Raw genomic sequence first — 21,938 nt, 5'->3', positions numbered from 1 at the left:
GAGTCTTGTTCCAGAGTCTCTGTGGGTCCCTTCCACGTGTGGGCTGGTTTCGGGGCCCCAGGGATGGTGGCAGTCCTAGCCATGAGAAGAACTGTGTCACTGGGGTGGACTCTGCTCACGTGGTCAAGAGTGCATGCAGGCCACTTCCTCCACATGGGAAAGCACCTGGCAGGCATGGATGAGAGCGACCAGGGGAGTTCCCAAGAGGCCAGCTGGGCAGTGCTGCTGGGTGGGGAGTGGGTGAGGGCAGGTGGCGGGAGCCTGAGTGTGACCCCAGGAGGCCCAGAATCTAGTAGTTGCTGTTTTCTTCCTCTGGAAACAGGTTTTTTTTTTTTTTTCCTCTGGCACCCTGCACCAGTGTCGGCTTACCTGCTTGTTGGCCGGCATGGTCTGGTGAGAGGGGTCGGCGGTGCTGGGGAGACTGCTCACCATTTTGGGGTTTGCCGCTTTGCCTTCAGAGGGCTTATTGTGAGTGGATGATTTTCGGGAAAAGTTACTCTGTTTCCCAGAGGTTGCTGCGTGCGCATTCAGCAGAGGCAGCAGGGAGCTGCAGGGAGTTCTTGAGGAATAGTTGTTCTTTGGATGTGTAACTGCAATAATAAAGTGCTCAGTGTTACGAGCTGCACCTCCAACACTGCTGCCTCAGTAACCCATTAGGAAGCGCTAGAAGATGAAGAAACTGGCCAGGAGCTCCACAAAAACATTAAAAAGTTTTCTTTTGAAAGATGTTATTTGAAAGGGCATCTTGGTGCTTAAGAGAACAACCAAATTTCTTTTGTGGGAATCACTGAACTGTGATTACAGCATAATCATCCAAGTTGGGAGACATTTGTAGGAAATAAGACATATCTGACCAACTTAAATATTATTCTTTAGGTCAAGAACCACCAAGGGAAAAGAGATAATGAAACCTCAAGGTTCCCTCTCTGGCCCTGTCTGCAAATGTACTCTGCCTCGTAGAGTCCCCATTACCAAACCTGTTCTCACTTCCCTGATCAGTTCCCTGGACCAACTGGTACTGCAGACACAGAAAGATTGGGAGCTATGCGGACACTCTGGCCTGTCAGATCCACGATGTTCTGAGAGCTTGGGAATGGGGTGATGTTGGATGTTAGGAATTCTGTTACTCTGGGTCATGCATATCCCCCAAACACAGGGCCAGGCCCGCCAGCCCCTAAGGCATCTTGTATATTTCATTAGTGCTCCATCATCACACCTTTAATCAGCCCCGTTTTCTGCAGCCTCACTGCAGATGTGCACCACTTCCAAGGTTACAGGCAAGGCAGGCTGATCAGGCGGACACCCGTCAGAGCTCAGGGCTCAGGGCTCAGGGCTCAGGCAGGTCTGCTCAGCGTTTATTATGACCATTCCCCCTGGTTTTGAAAGTGGTGGTTTCTGCTGGGATGATTTCTATGTGATTACACTGAATCAGAACTGGAGGGAATCAATTCAAGGATAAAGCCCTGACTTCCCTCTCACAGTTCACCAGAATCTGACTGCCAGCTAGACCTTTCTTTGAGGCTTAAAACTGTCACCAATTTTTGAAAGCAACTTTGTCTGCTCTCTTTGTTGGATCAGATTTAATCCCAGGGTTCTGCTAGAGGACTAGGCGGGACCAGTAAGAATCACAATACAGGAGAAATGGAAAGGCCAGGGACACATCCCCAGTCCCTTCAGTGTACTGGGAAGGTGTGACAGCAAGCTGGGGCTGTCCAAATGTGACCAGGGGATTTCCGTGGCTCCTATGCTCACCAGATTCAGTTTCATGGGGTCATTATTGTCTGCAGATCAGGGACCACTATTTCCGGTTCAGTACCTGTGGGTTCTCAATGTGCTCTCAACAAAGCTGAGAAGGAAGGGCCTTTGGATGATTACGGTGTCTGTCTTTCAGAATGGACACCTGGAATTTAGTAAGGGACCATTTCTCCCACTAGATGGCACTTGAAGTGCTCAGGAGGAAAGGAGGTGAAGGGGCACCTCTCCATCGCCCCGAGATCGGTGGTGACAGGGCATCGCTCAGCATCACTGTCTTGCTCATTGAGGGCTGAAGTGGAAAAGAGGGTGGGCAGTTCCCTTTTTTAGAGGTGGGGCAAAAGCTGGGGATAGAGAATGGCAAATAGGTAGATTCTTTCATAAGGAAGAGTACAGGGGGGAACAATAATTTTTAAAAATGCAGTCAGAAAATCAAATAATTGGCAAGGATGTGTGGACAAGGATGCTCGCAGCAGTGTTAATTAATTAATTAATTAATTTTTTGAGATGGAGTCTCGCTCTGTCGCCCAGGCTGGAGTGCAGTGGTGCGATCTCCACTGACTGCAATCTCTGCCTCCCGGGTCCAGGTTCAAGTGATTCTCCTGCCTCAGCCTCCCAAGTAGCTGGGCTTACAGGCACCTGCCACCACGCCCAGCTAATTTTTGCACTTTTAGTAGAGATGGGGGTTTTACCATATTGGCTAGGCTGGCCTCGAACTCCTGGCCTCAGGTGATCAGAGTGTTATTTTAATGGTGAAAAACTGCAAGCAATCTAAATGCAGCAACCAGAAGACCGGTGACATCTATTATATTTAGAGAAATGACTGGTTAAATATATTGATATGAAAAAATGTCTACCATAGATTGTGAAGTGATAAAAGCAAATTGTGTTACTATATATGTATGCAGTGTAGTACAGTATAGTTAATTCTATCATAATAGGAAGTGCAGCCAAATCTTAATTTTTCAGCTGACTGCGAGGCTGTGGGTTTCCACGTCATTGACTAGTCCTTTCCTCCTTGTGGCCGTCCTTAAAGCCGCTTCAGTGCTCATTCCCACCTCCCCTTGTGGGTGGGCTGGTGTAGGGGGAAAATATAGCAGCCAATTTTGTTGCACATTAGCTGCTCTAATTAAGGCTTAATAGGGAACAAGACTAAAGCTAATGGCTGAGTGAAGTCTTTCATTATCTGCAGCCTCACTCAGCACAGAGAACCGAGGGTGGAGGCTCAGGGCACTGCTGAGGGGCTCGCATAACAGCTGGGCCCTGCACAACAATAACTGATTGTTCCCAGACATGTTAGGAAGACTCACTCTCTCTGCCTAACGAGTTTCTGTAGAACCAGGGCTGTTTGAAATCAGAGAAGCAGTTTAACTGGCAGTGCTTAATAAAAGTTTGCAAAAGGTATCAACTAGTTGACCTGTTCTGTTCCACTTAATAAATCCTGGGGAATTACTGATGGGCAGTGGCATTTGAAGACTCTAGGTTCAAATCTCGACATTTCTGGTGACTTGTGTCATGAGCTTAGATCATTAAATCTCTTTAGACCTCACGTTAGCCCCCTGGGGGGACTGCACACCTGACATTTCCAATAGCAACTCCAAATAGCACCAAGGTTACTCACACAGAATTATTCAGCAAATATGCAAAACTCACTTTCTCCGCAGAGCATGATTTGGGCCTTCAGCTGTTCGATGTCACAGGAAAACCGGGCAGCTTTCCCGAGCTCCTCGTCATATTTACGCTCGCTGACAAAGTGCTGGAGGAAAGAGATGAAAAGCAGGAACCCCATGATTACAGAAATGACCAAGGCACCCCCGTGGATGCGTTCACTCTGCTCTTCCGGTGTCCACTGCAGTGCTGACCTGGTGGGGATCTTTCCAGCCCTGTTGCTGGGAGGCTCCACGCTCAGTCTTAGTGCTGACCTGGCTAGGGAATGAGCATCTTCCTGCCTGGGGAATATGTGAGGGGCCTGTGTTTCTCTTGTTTGGGCCTACATGAAATGTGTGTCTGACTCATCTATTTAACCTTTTAGCACCCCTCGCCCTCCTAGTACTTTTCTGAATTGCATTCTGGCAGGGTCTTCTGAGTTTGGCCAAGTGCCTTCTAAGGTATTAACCATCAAGAGAAAACATGTCGTCCTTCCTAGACCCCCATTCCTATTTTAACAGGGAACCGGGACGTCCACAAAGCCTTTAGTGTCTGGAAAATATTATTTTAAATGGCAGAATTTCAAGTGCTGTGAAAAGAAGTGAGAAAGAGATTATTTTTCCATTCATTTAAAATTAAGATCTGTGTGTAGAAGACATGGTGAGAAATACAGAAATAACTGCGACTCAGTCCCTTCTTGAGTTTACCAGGGAGTTTAGCAATGGCAAGGAAAACAGATACCATTAACTACAATACAAGGTGGAATGTGGTTGGTGCTTTAGGAATATAAAAGAGGAAGAAATTATTTCCTACTGAGGGCAATGGGGAAAGAGTTATTTAAGAGGGAACATTGAAAAAATCATTGAACACTTACGAGGCACTGGTCAAATTCTTAGCAGATAATCTCATTTCATCTGATCACAGTATTATGAAGTCAGTATTATTACCTCTGTTTTACAGATGGGGGAATTGGGGTTCTACGAGTCTAAGAGAATGTGTAACTTATCCAAGGTCACAGAAGTAGAAAATTTTGCAGCTGGACTGTTTCACTCCAAAGCCTGTGCTACTAACTATTTTATGATGGGTGGCGTTTTGATAGGCAGAAATGAAACTCGGAAGATGAGGTGATTTCAATAGATCAGGAAGCTAGCAATTTTATATTTCTTACTTGATGTTCTAACAAGCTGGGATTTTTGTAGAGAGAGATGGAAGTTGGAACATATATTGAAGTCCAGCTGTGAATTTCTTTCTGAGGGGAAGGAGATATACTGGGGAAACCAGATCTGCTTTGGGAGTTTACGTCTGGTCTTAGTGGAGTACGAGGCTGAAGGGAGACAGTGTAGGCAGAGAGACTAGTGTGGAGGCCACTGCAATTGGCTGGGTGGGAGGCCACAAAGGCCAGAGCAGAGAAGCTGAGGAGGGAAAGGCCACTGACGCCCTCAGCACCCTCAGGTGAGGTCCTCTTCCCCATGGGGCCCGCTTTCATGCCCAACCAGGAGGGAGGGAGTTGAAAAGTCACTTGCCACTGTCAATCATTGCCAAGCAGTTTTATGCCCCAATTTGCAATCTTACTTTCAAAGCTAGCAGCAGCTGTGTCTTGCAACCACTCTAGTTTCCTGGAAGTGGGTAAGAAGCTGGAAGGCGTGTGTGTGTGTGTGTGTGTGTGTGTGTGTGTAGTATACTGGGTGAAAAAGTGGATAAGGGGAATTTTAAAATTTCTTCCTATTTTGTTGTAAATACTTATACTTGCCTTCCTGGTAACTATTTCCCCTTCTGGTAACTGTACCCTGATGCAGTTTCAAAGATCCACAGTCTTGGTGGGTCTGGCGATCAAGATGTCACACCCTCTCTGGGCCAAATGATGGACGTGACCCAAGTGGAGGCCAATCAGAGCCTCTCTCTTAGGGATCCGAGCCAAGTGGGGTGGTACAGGGCTGATGGTCCCATGAGAGTGTCTAGTGATTATTGCTTCTTATTTCACCAGAGCCACCCCAGTTCCTACCTAATTGTTGAGCTGAGCCTTCAGACAGGGCTCTGCTTTGCTGAGCTATACTCACATCCTGTCAAATTCTACTTGTCCTTGAGGTTAGCCAGGGTCAGTTTCTGTTGCTTGTCAATGAAGGAATCTAATAAATACGTATTTATGGGTAGTATTCTTAATAAAAATGCAACTAAACTAGAAAATAATACAGGAAAGAAATCTCCACAGACCGCATGCTTTCTAATCTTCACCATTACACTACGTTCATGCTTCGTGTGTGTATATATACCTGTGGATGTGTTTATATGCATACATACAAATCACAGTGTGTGAAAATAATATCCCCCATCCCAGCTATAATTCATGGCCTGGCCAAGTTACTTTATTTGGTTCAGTCTCTACTGACTGACAAAATAGCTTGTACCTCTCCTTTGGAGTAACACATTCCTTCAAAGCACATTACACTTAAACACAGTGATTATGTGGGTCTTCCCCCTTCTGTGTTCTCTATTTCCACCCTGTGGAAGAGAGCTGGGTGTACATGTTAGATCCTCAGAGAGCAGAACTCTGTGGATGCAAAACAAACATAATTGGGATCAGCTCTCTGGCTCAGGGTTCAGGCTGTGATATTTTAGAACTGACCTTAATTTCTGCCCTGAGTTCGGCCAGCTGCATCTCTGCCATCTGACTGGCAAGGTCAGTGAGTCTCTTTAGTTCTTCTGCTTTCTTCTGACGAGCAGTCAGGATTTCCACTGCCAAATAAGGAGGAGTCATACATTAGGGCCAGAGATTGAAACATATTAAATAACCTAATTTCTTGGAATCAGTTCTCACTCCACAGACTGATTGCTTTGTTGGACCACGACTGTGTTTTCTGAGTTGGTCATGGAGGCGGGTTCACCCTCTGTGCCTATTACCAACAACCCAGTTCCTCCTGTCCTCCTCCACCAATCCCCAAGCCAAACACAGTCCCTTCTGATTCACTGTACACTCCCACTCTACATTTTCTCCACTGGTGTCTGACCTCACTTACGGAATTTAGACTTTTGAAATTTGTTACTCCGAACAACGATCTCTGAAAAACAACACTTATTAAAATCCTCTCTGAGTGATACCGCCAAGACAGGAAGTCTACTAAGCAGAAATCATTCTATATGTGCTGCACTATTCAACTTTAACAGCAGCAGCCCTCTTGAACTTTAACACATACTCACTTAGGGTGACTAGCTGTGTTACTGGAATCTGACATAAAAATCTAACTTTATTAGTTTTTTTGTGAGCCAAAAATGTCTCTGCTTTTGATACTCTGCAGATATGTTTCCATTCAGCAAAAAAACAGAAGTTCTACCCCAGAGTGTCTTAGGTCTTTCTATAAGTGTCCCCAGTGGAAAAATTTCAAGAGTGAGTGAGGCCAGCTAGAACTAGATTCGTGTGAATTTTTTAGCACCTGCACACGTAGAGAAGACACTGGGGAGTACTCTGGCTCCAACATTTTCACACATCTTCAGATGAACTAAAGGTTCAAATAGATGTAGTAGCCTATCAGTTGGTTTGTGTCTGTGTGTGTATACACGTGTTTCCCAAAAGATTATGGCGCTCAGTAGCAATCAATACAGACACACAGGATGAGATTTAAATATGCAGCTGGATCTTTCAATAGATAGACTTCTGGCTCTCTAATTCGACTCATATGAATTGCCTTCATTTCTTTAGGACAAGCATTTTGAGGTGTAAGAAAAAAGGTATTCATCTAAGATGACATGCATGTCGGACTCACATTCTATGCTTGGCTGAACAAGGATCAACTGCTTTATTAGACCAGATTCACAGCATACGTGCAGGTCCAAACAATATGATTTCTGATTTTAAGAGTTCTTATTACTCAAAATATCAAAAGATAGTCACTGCAAAAGCCCAAAAAGAAGTACAGAATCCATCAAGAGTTAAGATTCCCTGCAAATCATAAACCATTCTTTAGACAGACTGAAAGGCATTATCTTCTTTTGTTTTGAGACAGAGTCTCGCTCTTTCGTCCAGGCTGGAGTGCCGTGGCATGATCTCGGCTCACTGCAAGCTCCGCCTCCCGGGTTCACACCATTCTCCTGCGTCAGCCTCCTGGGTAGCTGGGACTACAGGCGCCCGCCACCATGCCTGGCTAATTTTTTGTATACTTAGTAGAGACGGGGTTTCACCATGTTAGCCATGGTGGTCTTGATCTCCTGACCTCGTGATCTGCCTGCCTCGGCCTCCCAAAGTGTTGGGATTACAGGTGTGAGCCATCACCTGGCCCTAAGACATCATCTTTTTATGCTGATATCAATGTTGAGATGTTAATAAAATAATTAGTCTATAACTCATACAGCTTTATCATCTGCCAAACTATGCTAATCATGCTTTGATTCTTTAACTGGGGCTCCCCCTAGCCCCCATTTACAATACCATGTGGCTGGGCAGACAGATCTGTGCCTAATAGTCTTTCTGAATACAGAGGAGCTAGTGAAAAACTTGTCTGGATGGTGAAAGTGAAGGGAAGTTTCATCTCAATGTAGACAACAGATTGCTGAAGGATGTCTCAGGACACCCAGTGGGACCAAAGGTCACAAAAAGGTGGCTCACTCTCATTTTCAGCCAGAGTACATATGTCTTGTTTGGTCCACACATTACGTTTACAAATTAATTGCCCACATTTAAAAATTAGAAGATTCCATTTGAAAGCTGGCTCTCTGGCATCTCTTAAAGTACTGGAATTTCTGGTCACAGTTGGTCAACCTTCCTACATGGTGACAAACGGCTGAAGCCAAGAAGCCACTGCCCTCTTTAGATGGAGTCAGGTGCCCAGTGTGCCATGGTTTCCCCCTGCCCCATTTGGCACATTAATGTTACCTATCTGTTTCCTGCGAGCATCTCCAGTCATTCTCGGGACTACGGTGTGAACTGCACTATGTAGTTCTTTGTGTCCATGGCACCTAGTGCCTGCTTGGTACACAAGGGGTATGCAATATGCCTGCTGAGTGAAGAATTCAATGAATGAATTAATCTATTACTTAAAGGGAATATCTAAAGAAGGATGGAAGTTCCTTTTCTACAGGGGTCACTTAAGACTGTTTAGGATCCACACCTTTGATTGGTTATGTTATTTGTTTGCCATTATAATTCAATATATGGATGGGACTAACATCTGCAGCATGAGAAAACAATTCAAGTAGGAAGATGAAATGAGGTATGTTCTTCTTGCAAACTAAAATTAAAAAAATTAATTCTGTTGCCAGGCGCAGTGGCTCACACATGTTATCTTAGCACTTTCGGAGGCTGAGGCAGGAGGATTGCTTGACTCAGGAGTTCAAGACCTGCCTGGACAACAATGTAAGACCCTGTCTCATCAAACTGATAATAATAATAATAAAAAAAGTCTGAAGGCCCAGACTTGAAAAGCAGCTAGTAAAGGGGTCATTAGGCCCTCAGTGATGACACAGTCCAACAGATCTAACTTTTCTTCATGGATCATTTGTGAGACTGGTGACAATTAAGGGCCATTGTTCTTTTTGATTAAGCAGAACTTGGGCATTCATACCAAACAAAAGATTTTGTAGAAATAGATATAAATGGGCCCTAAAATAGGAATGCAGGTGCAAGATCACCAATAAATTCTGAGTTTACCCTCATGCCAATGTGCATGGAAACAAATACTTTGGATCAGCAAGTGTTAAAATGCATTTTACATATAGTCTCATTAACATTTCAAAGGCTTTCATTATGAAAAAAGCCTTAAAACTTGAGATCTAAAGCCAATATTCTTTGGCTGAAGGGATGAACATTTTCACCTCAAAAACATCAATCACACAAACAAACAAAAACAGATCAGATCTTAAGCTTCACTGATCCTGTAATTTACAATAGAATAATAAGTATGTTTTGGAAGCACCATGCTTTCAGAAATCTGTAGAGGAAGACAATTCTGTACAGCTTAGGTTATCACTGCATTCAAGACTTAATTAATATTATGTATGTATAAACAGTATCTGGTAAGCTGAAATCCACTTTCTCAATAGGATTTATAAACTCCTTCAAGCTTTTGAAACACATTGGAAGCTTGCTCATATTATCTGAACCATAGAAAATCTGAAGGCTTCTCAAAACAATAACCCTCAGCAGAAAATATACTTAAAATCCCAAGGTGGGGGCCAGGGGCCAGGAGCTGGAGAAGTGGCTCTTTAAGCACAAAGATTCTTTGGAATACTTTTTATTCCTTAAAAATTCTAGTGAATTTTGCATTCTACTTCATAATTTGTTTGTGTTACTATGAATTTACAAAGTAATGTTTTCTTCCCGTATCTCTAGTGAACTTGACACCTGTGCTTATGTGGGTATAAACAGGAAGTTTGAGACCCTAGCACTACAACACACTTGGTTTCTTCTTCTGTAAAATCTGTGTAGGAACTGATCACATGTTGTAGGGGTATTGTGGAAATAAATGGAATAACATACATGAGGTGTTTCGTATAGTATACTCAAAATGCTAACTCTAAATATTATTGATAAAGTGAGATCTCTTCATCTAGAATATACTTCCTCTTTTGTGCAATTACAGGAATGTTCACTAATATTCGTTCCCACAGTCTACAGATACTGACTTATTTACAATAACTCATTTAACAAATATTTATGAAGTACCTGCAGTCTTCTCAGCACTGGGTTAGGTGCCATGAGGGATTTAGGAGCTTCTGTTATAATTGAGGAAATATGATTTATAATGTCTACAGGAAATGTAAAGTGTGAAAAATACTCTTGAGACCACAGAGAACCAAATTAAAGATGGTGGTTGTAAAGACAGTTCTGTAGTTAGTGGGGAGAAATTCCATGGTTCTTTCTATCTGTGGAGAAGACATAGTGTTGATACAGGCTTGTCATTTGAGAGATGCAATAGAACCCCTGACTTCCATTTTTTGACTGTAATATGAGCGGGTTGGGGTAATTTACTAATAAGAACTCTTCCCTTTTTGCACACATATTGTATCAGGCTCTGTGCTAAGTGCCTGACGTGTATTTTTTCATTTTATCTTTACAATAACTACTTGAGATGGATATTATTATTATTATTATTGTTATTATTATTTTTAATACAGGGTCTCTCTCCGTTATATAGGCTGGATTGTAATGGCATGATCATGGCTTGCTGCATCCTTAAACTCCTGAGTTCAAGTGATTCTCCCCTCTCATCCTCTAGAATAGCTAGAACTATGGGCACATGCCACCACACGTGGCTAATTTATTTTTTATTTTTATTTTTTTAGAGATGGGGTCTTACTATGTTGCCCAGGCTTGGTCTCGAACTCTTGGCCTCAAGCAATCCTCCTGCCTTGGTCTTCCAAAAGGTCTGAGATTATATGTGTGAGCCATTGCCAGGGCCTAAGGAATATTAGACTTTGAGAAGTCAACAACATGGTTCAGGGACACACAGCCAGTTAGAGATGGAGGTTGGACTTGAACTCAGTTCTGCCTGCCTCAAAAGCATGCAAATGGGCTTCCCCAGGGCTGAGGTTAGTTCAAAAACCAGGACCTGCCATACCAATTACTCAAGTTAGGTGAACTCTGTCAACCAATCTAGCAGTTTCAGCTAGCCTGAAAGCTTGGTGAGTGCAGGCTCTACATTTGTCTGTTTGCTGTTTATCCTGGACACAAGGAAGCGCGTGTGTTTACTGATTGAGTAAGTTTTTAAAATGGGATGCTCTCCAGAGATGCTCCAAATTCCACAGGTCTTGGCATCAAAGACTATCATGTCTCAAGAAGGAAAAATAAGTACATGAAACCTGAGGTCTTTTCTTGACCTCTAAGAAAGTGATGATGTGCTAGTGACTTTCCATTTTGGTTCAAGAGGATCATTTGTGTCTGTGTTGGTTGTTAGCATTTTTATCATTAGGACATGAAACTGAAGTAAGCTATACTTGAGAAGTAGGGAAAATCCCAAGTTGTGTATATAATCTACTGTTACTGAAGATGTCAACAAATTTCATAAGAATAAAATAATTTCACAATCAAAGAGATTGTTTAACTACCTAAATAGTCCATAGCTTCACCCTGGATCACATTAGTTTCATTTAACAAAGCTTGCTGTATTTCAGGATTCTAAAATGTTGCTTACAATTATTTAGATGCCTGACTAAAGGAGGTCTGAAATGAATAACAAAATAATTTAGAAAACTGTGTAACAAAAATAACGATAGCTATTTTCCATAAAATGACACTTGAATTATGGCCTAGGTCCAGACAAGAAAAATAAAAAAGAATGAAGAATCTGGTCTGATCTTTCATTCTGGCAAAAGAAAGACATCACATCAAAGGTAAAGGGATTTCACTGAAATCTGGTTAGGGGCACAGACTGCCATTTATCCAATTCATCTTTGGGTAAAGATGAGGAATTTAAAATGCCCAGGAGACAAGGATTGTAAAACTGAATCCCAGCTGGAAAATAGGGTCTTAGGGGCCCCATTAACACAGCAAACTAAATTCAATAATAAGGGAGGGCCTCACACATTCACTTGTGGTTTGATGTTGAATCTGACAAAGTAATCTTGTCTTTGTTGAAATTTCCAACTCATGAGCCTCAGTCTATTTAAGATGGTAATTCTTCTCTACTACTCAAGTAACTTTACCACAGTGGAAAGGTTTAGAAATCAGCATAAAGAAAATAAAACAAGTCAAACCCAGAATGTTAATATTTTATGTTAAATTTAGGATTAAGTTTTGCAATGATCAAGATAATTTGAGCGTGTTCATTATTTAAACAGAGAATTTGGTACATTAAGCAATCTGATTTGTGATTTTCAATTTAATATATGGAATTGATTTTCTTTTGCGGTTTTAAGTTGGCAGGTGTCAGTGTATTTGACGAAGTTCATGAACAGAACTGGAGTATTTTAAGAAAACTGTTTAGGCCGGGCGCGGTGGCTCAAGCCTATAATCCCAGCACTTTGGGAGGCTGAGCTGGGCGGATCACAAGGTCAGGAGATTGAGACCATCCTGGCTAACATGGTGAAACCCCATCTCTACTAAAAACCCAAAAAATTAGCTGGGCGTGGTGGTGGGCGCCTGTAATCCCAGCTACTCAGGAGGCTGAGGCAGGAGAATGGTGTGAACCTGGGAGGTGGAGCTTGCAGTGAGCAGAGATTGTGCCACTGCACTCCAGCCTGGGTGACAGGGTGAGACTCTGTAAAAAACAAAAACAAAAACAAAAAAAAACTGTTTAGTGTATCTTTAATTTTGAATTATTAATCTTATTATTATTATTTTTTTTGAGATGGAGTCTTGCTCTGTCGCCTAGGCTGGAGTGCAGTGGTGCAATCTTGGCTCACTGCAAGCTCTGCCTCCCGGGTTCACACCATTCTCCTGCCTCAGCCTCCTGAGTAGCTGGGACTACAGGTGCCCACCACTACGCCCGGCTAATTTTTTATTTTTGTATCTTTAGTAGAGATGGGGTTTCACCGTGTTAGCCAGGATGGTCTCGATCTCCTGACCTTGTGATCTGCCTGCCTCGGCCTCCTAAAGTGCTGGGATTACAGGCGTAAGCCACCGCGCCCAGCCTTGAATTATTAATTTTATAAGAGTTGCTTAAAAGCTTAGGAACACTTTGCTTGTTAGGTTTGTGAGTTTGCCTTGTCTGACATCTGAAGTGCTTAAGACAAATCAGATATATTAAATTTATATATGTAATTAAAAATGTTGAGGGGAATTTAAGTAATTAAGTTTCAAATGGGACTACTTTTCTAGGAAAATTTAATATGATAAACTTAATTGAACCTAAAAAAGAACTAGTAAAAATGATGATGAGATTTGTAAGTTTTAAAGAGTTAAAATTGTCTTAAAATCTAATACTAAATTCAGTGTCATTTTAAATCCAATTAACTATAAGTTCTTTATGTGCACAAACATCCCTTTGGACTTTAGAAAACTCAACTGACACCTATTATGTACTGAGTGTCCATCCTGCCATGTACTCACCTGTACGAGGTGAGTGTTACAACTGTATCTTTTTGCCAGATGATGTAAATGAGGCTTCCAGGGGCTAAGTGACATGACTAAGGTTACAGAGTTCATGAGCCAAAATTTCAATATAAATTTTAGGACCCTGTTCAGAAGCCGGTATCATTGTCAGTCTGACCTATGGATTGCTTCTGATTGGGAAGCTCCTAATCAAATAACCATGTGTTGTCTACTTACTGGCTTCTTCTTTAACTTTATCCATTTCTGCCATTAATGAAACTTCTTTGTCAATGATGCTGGGGAAAAACAAAAACAAAAACAAAAGCAAAGAATGCTTAATCAAAGATAAACTTTTAATAAGCACTGAAAGTAAAATTATTTTCATTAAACAAAATACAAAATTACCATAAATATTTCTATGCTACAATGCCAGCAGTACACTCTGCCTCTCCAAAAAATGAGGCAACATCGAAGGGATGTTCCCAAGGATTACATAGTGACATCTGCTGATTAAATCATTGTCAACAAACCTAAAAAAAAGTCTTTTAGACTTTCAGAATTGTGCTGCTTTGAATTTAAATTTGGGAATATTTTTGTCCTATACATTCCAAAGTTCCAAAACAATATAATAAGTATTTGAAAAGCTGGCACTTAGGTCCTTAAGGACTGTAGTTCCCAGTGTCTCTGTGCTCTACCCTGAGAGATTCTGGCTGGGAAGGAAGGAGATGGGCCCAATTCTGCTGCAGATGGTCCTGGGACCATACTTTGAGAAATATGGTCTGGGCCAATCCATCCACATGCTCAACAACATAAGTCTCTGCCTTTTTCATTCTCCCGAGTAAGCATTTCAAGGTTCTAATGAACTTTTTCTCGTATTTCATTTATTTTTTGGTTAGTCCTTCGAAAAGGTATTACCTGCATAAAGCTAACAATGATCTGTCCCAAAGTTTGCTTCTCTCCTATCCCATCCCAACCCCCAGTTCTCTAGTTCCCCTCCCAGAAGTAATGCATCATGACAAATTCCTTATATGTCCTTTTACAGATTTTTATGTAGGAAGGAGTGAAGAGAGGTTTCAGCAAAAAGGCAGGGAGCTGTGCAGGGTGAAGAGCCTGGGGAAAATCCCCAGGGTGGGTGAGCACAGATGTCAGATTATCTTTATATTTTTAGTTTAGTCATAATATTTAAATATATATCTTTAAAACATAAGGACTTCTGGGGACCACAATAATTTACTATAGCATCTATAAAACATTCACAATAATTTAATGGTATCAGATATCTACTTAGTATTCAAATTTCCCCAACTGTCCCATAAATCTTTTTTTTTTTTAACAGTGTGTTAAAACCAGGATCTAAACAAGCCCTGTTCATTCCAATTGGTTGATTGACTCTTAAATCTGTTTTAATCCAGAGGTTCCCTCTCATCTGTTTTCTCATCCCCTTTGCAATTTATTTGTTGAAGAAATTAGGTTGTTTGTCCTGAAGAGTTGTGCAAAGCCTGAATTTTGCTGATTACATCTCCATGGTGTTATTTAGCCTGTTCTTTTGTATTTCCTATAAATTTGTTATTAGATGTAGAAATCTGATTAGATTCAGGTTTTATTTTCTTAGGAGGAACACTTGATAAGTGTATTGTGTCATTATGTGTGTGCTGATGGAAGTATACGATATGAACTACTCCACCTGAAAAAAAATGAGACTGAATTTAATCAAATTTCTACATCTAAAATGGCAAATTTATAGGAAATACAAAAGACATCTCTCTTTTTTATGATCTTAGCAGCCATTGATGATCATTGCCTAGATTTTATAGGGTTTGCAAAATTGAGATATTCACATTCTATAACTCTTTCTTATTTCCTGGAATTCTTCCATAAAGAGAAACTTTATCAATGATTTGGTTATCATGAAGTATAGTTTGCATAGGTAAGGTAGGATGAATGCTTGATTCTCCCCTTTTGTTTTCAAAATGATAGTTGGTTCCTTAGCATCCTTCAAAGGTAATCAAGAAGATTTTTTTGCTTGTTTGTATATTTTAATTATACACATTAATTATAAACTCATATTTAATGTGCTTCAAAACACTGTTATCATCTTTATTACTCTCAGATTGTTCCATCACATGGACTTTTTCTTCTCCATCAGATGTACTTTTGCAATTTAAAGTGTGTTGAAAATTTACTTCCTCTGAAAAATTTTGCAGTATTTGTCAAAGTAAGAAGTGACTTCTGGAATATATCCATAGCAGTTTAGGGGCTCCTCAAGTAGACTGTGCAACCTAAATACTTGAAGAGTAAAGGACTGTGTGCTGAGGAACTCAGCTCTTCCCAACCAGGAAATCCTAGTGGAAAGGACTAATTGCACAGTGCATGGCATGTTCTCCAGAACTGGGCTCTAAGCCTAGTCCCTCAACTGCAGACAACATCAGCCAGCCCCATGACACACATGGCTTACGGTCACTGGATATGATCACTTTGGTGTAACCAACATATCAGGACGCCTGTCCCTTACCTATTGACATTACATAGGTATGTCAGTGTGTTTTAAATATAGGAAATGCATGATACAGAAAGGTGTACAGTGAGAAGGAACTCTTTATCCCATCTCTGCCCCAACTTACTCAGTTCCCCTCCTTGGAGGTCTCCAATGTGACAAGTTCTTGCATTTCCAGAGACTGTCTATGTAATCAACCAGCATATATTCAGTAATTGTATGAAATGCCGGGTTGAGTCAATAGGCTTTGTGCTCCTGTGATTATGAGCTTCTCTGCCAAGTTCACAAACATAGCCATGACAGAGGCATCTGTGTGTGTGTGTGTGTGTGTGTGTGTGTGTGTGTGTATGTATGTTTTCATTATTTACAACCTTCTTAGAGAGGGGCACTGCTACCTTACTTTAGGGAAACAAAGACTGTTCGAGACAAGCTGTTGGGGAGATATGGGGAGAATCTACAGATGTGGAGCCAGAAGCCCAAACTACAAATATATGGTTAAGCTACTCTGCTTGAGGACATGTTTTGAATTTTTATCCCTTACAGAAAGGGAAGAGAGAAGACAGAAAACTCAGCACGACGACATTCTTTGTGGGAGAGCTGAGAAGGATGTGAGAGGACCTGCCAGGACTCATTGGGGAAATAGTGAAAAGCAGATAGAGAGGAAAGAAAATGACGATGGCAAGAAGAAGCAATTAGGATTCCCTTCCCTGAATCAACTAGAAGGCTTTATAAATAGAGTCCCTGGGTTTAGAGAGCATGCCCAGCACACACTAAGGGAAATACTGCTGCATGTGACACAAGACTGGCATGTCCTCAGATGCCCAGTGGAGGGGAGAGGAGCAGACTGCAGGCAAAGCAGAGGTCCTGGAGGCTTGGGAATCCTCCCACTTGTGTGTGGGGTTGGTGGAATGGTGGTGTGTGCAAGGGCCTTTGCTAATTTCTTTATCAGCTACAAGACCATCGTAACACTTTTGTTGATCAAATTTGTTAACATAATTTTGTGCCCAGAGAATTTACAAGATGGACATTTGGGGTACAATACTTGTCCCCGGGTCTAACACATATTAAACAAAGCTGGGCATTTATATACAATGGTTAGTTCAGACCTTCTGGGCTAGCAACAGGAGGGAAGAGGGTTTACACAATAAATTGTTAATCTGCTTAATGCACACCCTTGAGGATGTGAAAGAGCCTGTGAAGTTGGCATCAAACCAGGCTTCCGTTTCTCTGGGTATTTCCATAGAAGATTGTCTGCAAGCATCGTAGTAATTCAAGCTCTGCTATCTATGGGTGGCTGCTTTCAAAACTCATGTGCACAAAGGCAAGTCAGTGATCTCTGCTGACTCAGGACCCAGCTTGGAGCTGATGAACTGATGCAAACCAAGATCAGGGGCCAGCCCAGGGCAGATAAACCCGGCCTGCCCTTGAGAATCTCAATGTGTAGACCTGAGAGTTCCTTGAGTTTTGCTTTCCAGGCAGTAGGCTTGTCAAGGGAAGAATAATGGTGGGAAGTGGATGTGGAGGAAGTAGTAAAGCCAGCCTGTCCTTTGGCAGGCTGTCAGACAGTGAGGAGCCAGCCTTACATCAAGCGAGTGCCAGACTAAAAGAAGGTCAGAGAGGAAAGACCATGCCTAAATCCTTCTAAATGCCCACAAAGCCTGGGGTGTCTGGGTGTGTCACATCCAGTTTTGGGAGTAATTTCATCGGTGCCATTTCCATGTTCTGTGGAATCTTCTTAGAGGTACCAGGACAGAGACAGACACGTATGGGTGGTCAAGTGTGGCTTGACAACTCTGCAGGCTGGATAGGACAGAGGGCACTTGGCAAAGCCCTGGTATGGAGTTACCAGATATGGAGGGAGGAGCGAGTCCCTTGGAGAGGAATGACATTAGGGAGTTGATGAGTCACAGAAGAATCAGAGACAGTATCATCAACCACATTCCTACTGTGGAAGCTGCAAGGTCACACACTTGCTTTCGAGGTACACCTCTGCAGACACATATCAGCCCTCAGTTGCCTCGAAATGTGAGCTGATCACTTTCTGAGTGCAGATGGTGGGCCAGGCACATTAGGTAGAGTGCCAGTGCCTTCCTGGAATGATCTCATCTAAGCTTCCTGACATCCCAGGAGGAGCAAGCCTGGCTTTCTCCTTGCCACAGGGGCTTGAAACAAGCCCTTCCCTCTACCTTGAAGACAACTCTTCTGCTTAACCTTGCTTCTCTTCATCTAATCAGCTCTGAGTCCTCCTTCAGGTCTTTGCTTAATCGTCACTTCCTTAGAGAGCTCTGACTAAGTTTTTAAAAACTTCTGTTCAATTTCATGATCTTAGACTTATTATGGGTTGCTCAATAAAAATTTCTTGATAGTGATGAATATAAGGGAAGACAACATATTCATTTTTCTGTGGCATAACAATAATGAAACTTACTAGTACATTGTGGTGCTTGCATATACATCACATTTATGCAAAACTTTTGGTCACTGACAGAATTTAATCATTGGAGACATAAGCTTATGAGTAAAGGTGTCATGATACTCACCAAACACACAAGGTTTGGCTGAGTCAAAACAGGCAGTTTGCAAACTATGGTGGTTTAATTACTGAAATTTGTTCTCCCACCACTGATCATCTGAAATGCTAAGTTCTGAATGTTTTTGCTTTTCAACAGTGATCCTGAGTACTTGACAGAAATACATAACTCTTTAATTGGCTTTCCACTGGCCACTAAAAGTTTTCTAAATGGTTGGGTAAAGCCCTCTGGAGGGCACCAGGCACGTCAAACGTGTTCTACATAAACAGAGTTCCCGTAAAATCCACGCGGACCTCACATGTTTCAGATGTGCCCTTTCTCCTTCTAAAAACACATCTTCTCATTTTAGCCAAACTGCCTGGATAGTAAAATTTTATTTTGTTGCCATAAAAAAGCTTTTATTATCAAAGCAATAAGGTGTAAGGAGGAGATTACCATGGCAAAGACTTTACAGTTTATTATATAGTTAATCACAGAGATAAAGTGTCATTTTATAAAAATGTTTCCACTGTCTTGATTCCTTTCTATAGAGCACTGATAATAACAATAATGAAAAGAATCAGAAAGCCTCGTTAGTAGTAATAGATTTATCATTTTCTCCCCTGTGAAAGGCTCTTTAAATTTGGAGATGGAGGCATTGAGTGACAAAATTGATTCATTTGGAAGCTTGGGTGAGTCATGTCAGGCCTAGTGTTCTTCAAATACAAAGATGCCACCATAGAGAGGCAGCCACAGGACCATCAATGTAGTTGATAAGCTGGAGAGCAGAACCTGCTGGTAGATACCGAGGAATGAAAGCAGAATTTCAAAGGGGAGGTGAAGAACTCAATCTGTAACAACAGCCAGAGTTAGATGTTAAAGATTTAAAACCAGGCCACATTCCATCTTCCATGCATTTGCCTCAGGGAGACTAGAGTGAGAGGAATTGCCGGGGACCATCTGATCCCAGACAATTTTGCTGCAGAACCTTCTTGTGGGGAAAGTACTTCAGCTGGAGCTTAACTCATCATTCGCCAAGCCAACAATTGCAGAATGGGAGCATGGGGAGGGAGGCAGGCCCAGCAGGAGGCGCATGCAGTAGAAAGAGAAGGTGGGAACTGCTGGAGAGAAAGGATGCTATGAATGCTAATGAATATTTCAGCCTTCCTGGCCTCTACCAAATAGCATAAAGCATGCCAAAGACTGATAAGCCCTACAGCCAGGCTTCCCTGCATAAAGAATTTCCATTTCTTTCACTAAAAAGAAAAGAGTGGTATAAAAACATCTCCCTCCACTGTGGGCTCTGCCGCTTCTTAATGCAAAGGAATAAGAACTGTGACCAACGGTTCTAACATCCCCTGAGAGGGATGTCAGCTGGGCTGATAGCCTAGTAGTGCCCACTGACCACCACGTGGGCCTTGAGCTGGCAAGCTACAGTTGCCCCGTACTAGCTAGCACTGAGCATCTGTGTCCCTTCCCTTAAATTTTGCCCACTAGTTGCAAGGCAGGAAAACTTCCTTTATACATTTAAGGCCTAATGTACTGTTCCCATGAGTACCATTTCTGGTCCAACTCCCCAAGTATTACCAGCAATTATTGGGCCCAGGGCAAAGCTAGTCAGGGGTTTCAGCTCACCAATTTCTCAATTGCAATTTCTCAATTTCTTTGTTGCAGCTGTCAACAAAGATGCTTCCCTGGCTTGACAGCCACAAATGCAGAAAGACCGTACGGTTCTTTATTCCCAGGGTCAGGAGGCCTGGCAGCCCTAACTGTAAAGGGCACTCACGTTCTTGCACACTGCCAATTCCCGGCTCTTCCTTGCTGTTCTGCTCCCCATCCTGTCCTCTCTCCTGCACCCTCTATGCTGGTTACTGGTGTCATCTCTCACCCAGTGTCCATGGCTCCTCTTCCTTCACTTCCCACATGGTTACATCCTTGGAAGTCTACCCCAGAAATGTCTGTCTGTCCCATGCACCTCTCCACTTCCACTGACTCTTATTTAACCCTGAGCACATTACCCAGTCCTTGGCTATTTGTTGTTGTTTATTGTTACACTGCTGGAATTCCCGGGTCTGTCACCTTCCACTCTGTATATATTTGCATTTAGGTTTTATAACAACCTGAATTCTTTTCAAAACTGAAAAATAATAATAGATTTTTTTTTTTTTAAATGCAGCACTGGTGACAAATTGGTCCTTCTAAAGATTTATTGGGTTTAACAGTGTTATTTGGTAAACATATAAAACCCTGCATACATGTCCACAGCATGTAGACTGGGGTTAGCACATAACCCTTTGAAAGGCTGCCTACTAATCACGCTCATCCGGGAAATAGAGTGGGGGTGCCTCAAGCATGAACCACACTCAACATACAAAGCAAAGTCAAAATCCATCTGACTGTCAATGAACATCAATGACTACACTCAATTGCCAATCAGGCTGACATTTTATTTCTACTACTTTTATGAGAGGCAATACAATGTGTTAATATTGTTTAGTCTGCATATTTTATGTTGGAATCATACAATGATTTGAAATCATGGTTAATAAATTGTTCATCATACTGTCTGAGGTGCATTTCTGGGATGAGACACACAGATTTAGTATAAGGACTAACTCTCAACATTAGTAATATTTTGGAGTTCTTCAAAAAGGACATAATTAATTAAAAAATATACAGGGATTTCTTTTTCTTATTGGAATTTTTTAAATGACAGAATAGCATAATCCCATAGTATGGAAATCCCACAACATTAAATGTTCAACTGAAAAATCTATATTCCTCTGTTTAGAAATTGTACATATGACTTTGATGAACAATAGAAATTTTTATCTTTGCTAATTACTTATTAGTTCAGTTTCTTTTCATGGAGGTCACTATTCAGGGAAAGTAACTTGACTGTATTTCAGTGTCTTTGACTATAAAAATGCTGACTCCCCCGCTTCCCCTTTTAAAGTTACATCTGCCGGGCGTGGTGGCTCATGCCTATAATCCCAGCACTTTGGGAGGGCGAGGCAGGCAGATCACCTCAGGTCAGGAGTTCAAGACCAGCCTGGCCAACATGGTGAAACCCCATCTCTACTAAAAAACTGGAAAATATTAGAAAGCAGGATAAAATGAAACAAATTTCAAAATAAAACAAAATAAAGCAAAATGCCCCTTTGTCTCAAGCACAAAATAGAGCCAATCACTCTGATCACTGTTGTATTTCCTTCCAAAAAAAGAAAAGAAAAAAGAAAACGGTGGGGGCAAGGGGAAGGGCATTTATGTAGATGCCATCATGGTTGCTGAACATAAATAACAGGAACAGAAACTGGAAGAAACTGATATAGTACAAGAAGTGCCAGAAATGCTGGCCCACATTCAACCCAAGGCAGCCAGGCCTAGCCTCCTCTGCTCCTGGCCTCCAGGCAGGCTCTCATGTGAAAAGGGGAGGGGAGGGGCTCTTCTTGTTTTTGGCCTAGAAGGCTCTTCCCCACAATCACAGGTGTTGTTATTGCCCATGGTAAGGCCGTACCCTAGTCCAGGCTTCCAAAATGGAGCAGGAATACAATATTAAATTTTATGTACTCACTTG

At 41.9% G+C, this 21,938-nt stretch overlaps 1 protein-coding gene and 1 long non-coding RNA gene across 18 annotated transcripts in view, besides 2 other annotated features; one reads left to right on the top strand and one right to left on the bottom strand.

Annotated features, from left to right (window-relative positions):
- Positions 1–21,938, bottom strand: part of SPATS2L (spermatogenesis associated serine rich 2 like) — a 176,386-nt gene that overhangs the window by 8,843 nt on the left and 145,605 nt on the right. For all 15 annotated transcript variants that reach the window (NM_015535.3, XM_024452788.2, NM_001282735.1 and 12 more), the window contains 4 exons: positions 13,595–13,653; positions 6,023–6,132; positions 3,406–3,508; positions 370–590 (listed from right to left, as the gene is read on the bottom strand). In NM_015535.3, the coding sequence (NP_056350.2) occupies positions 370–590; positions 3,406–3,508; positions 6,023–6,132; positions 13,595–13,653 (493 nt within the window). The remainder of the gene's footprint in view (positions 1–369; positions 591–3,405; positions 3,509–6,022; positions 6,133–13,594; positions 13,654–21,938) is intronic.
- LOC101927741 (uncharacterized) overlaps positions 1–21,938 on the top strand; it is an 81,319-nt gene that overhangs the window by 4,552 nt on the left and 54,829 nt on the right. The gene's annotated exons all lie outside the window — the stretch shown is intronic.
- Positions 175–324: an enhancer, noted in NCBI's record as "active region_16960". NCBI's record gives its function as "activates an Ori minimal core promoter by ATAC-STARR-seq in GM12878 lymphoblastoid cells {active_cell/tissue: GM12878}" and the evidence as "EXISTENCE:reporter gene assay evidence [ECO:0000049][PMID:35858748]".
- Positions 1,640–1,819: an enhancer, noted in NCBI's record as "active region_16959". NCBI's record gives its function as "activates an Ori minimal core promoter by ATAC-STARR-seq in GM12878 lymphoblastoid cells {active_cell/tissue: GM12878}" and the evidence as "EXISTENCE:reporter gene assay evidence [ECO:0000049][PMID:35858748]".

This window comes from Homo sapiens, chromosome 2, assembly GCF_000001405.40.
Source record: "Homo sapiens chromosome 2, GRCh38.p14 Primary Assembly".
In the NCBI taxonomy this organism is placed as follows: domain Eukaryota; kingdom Metazoa; phylum Chordata; class Mammalia; order Primates; family Hominidae; genus Homo; species Homo sapiens.
Note: the sequence above shows the minus strand (reverse complement) of the source record. Positions and strands in the feature narration are given on the sequence as shown.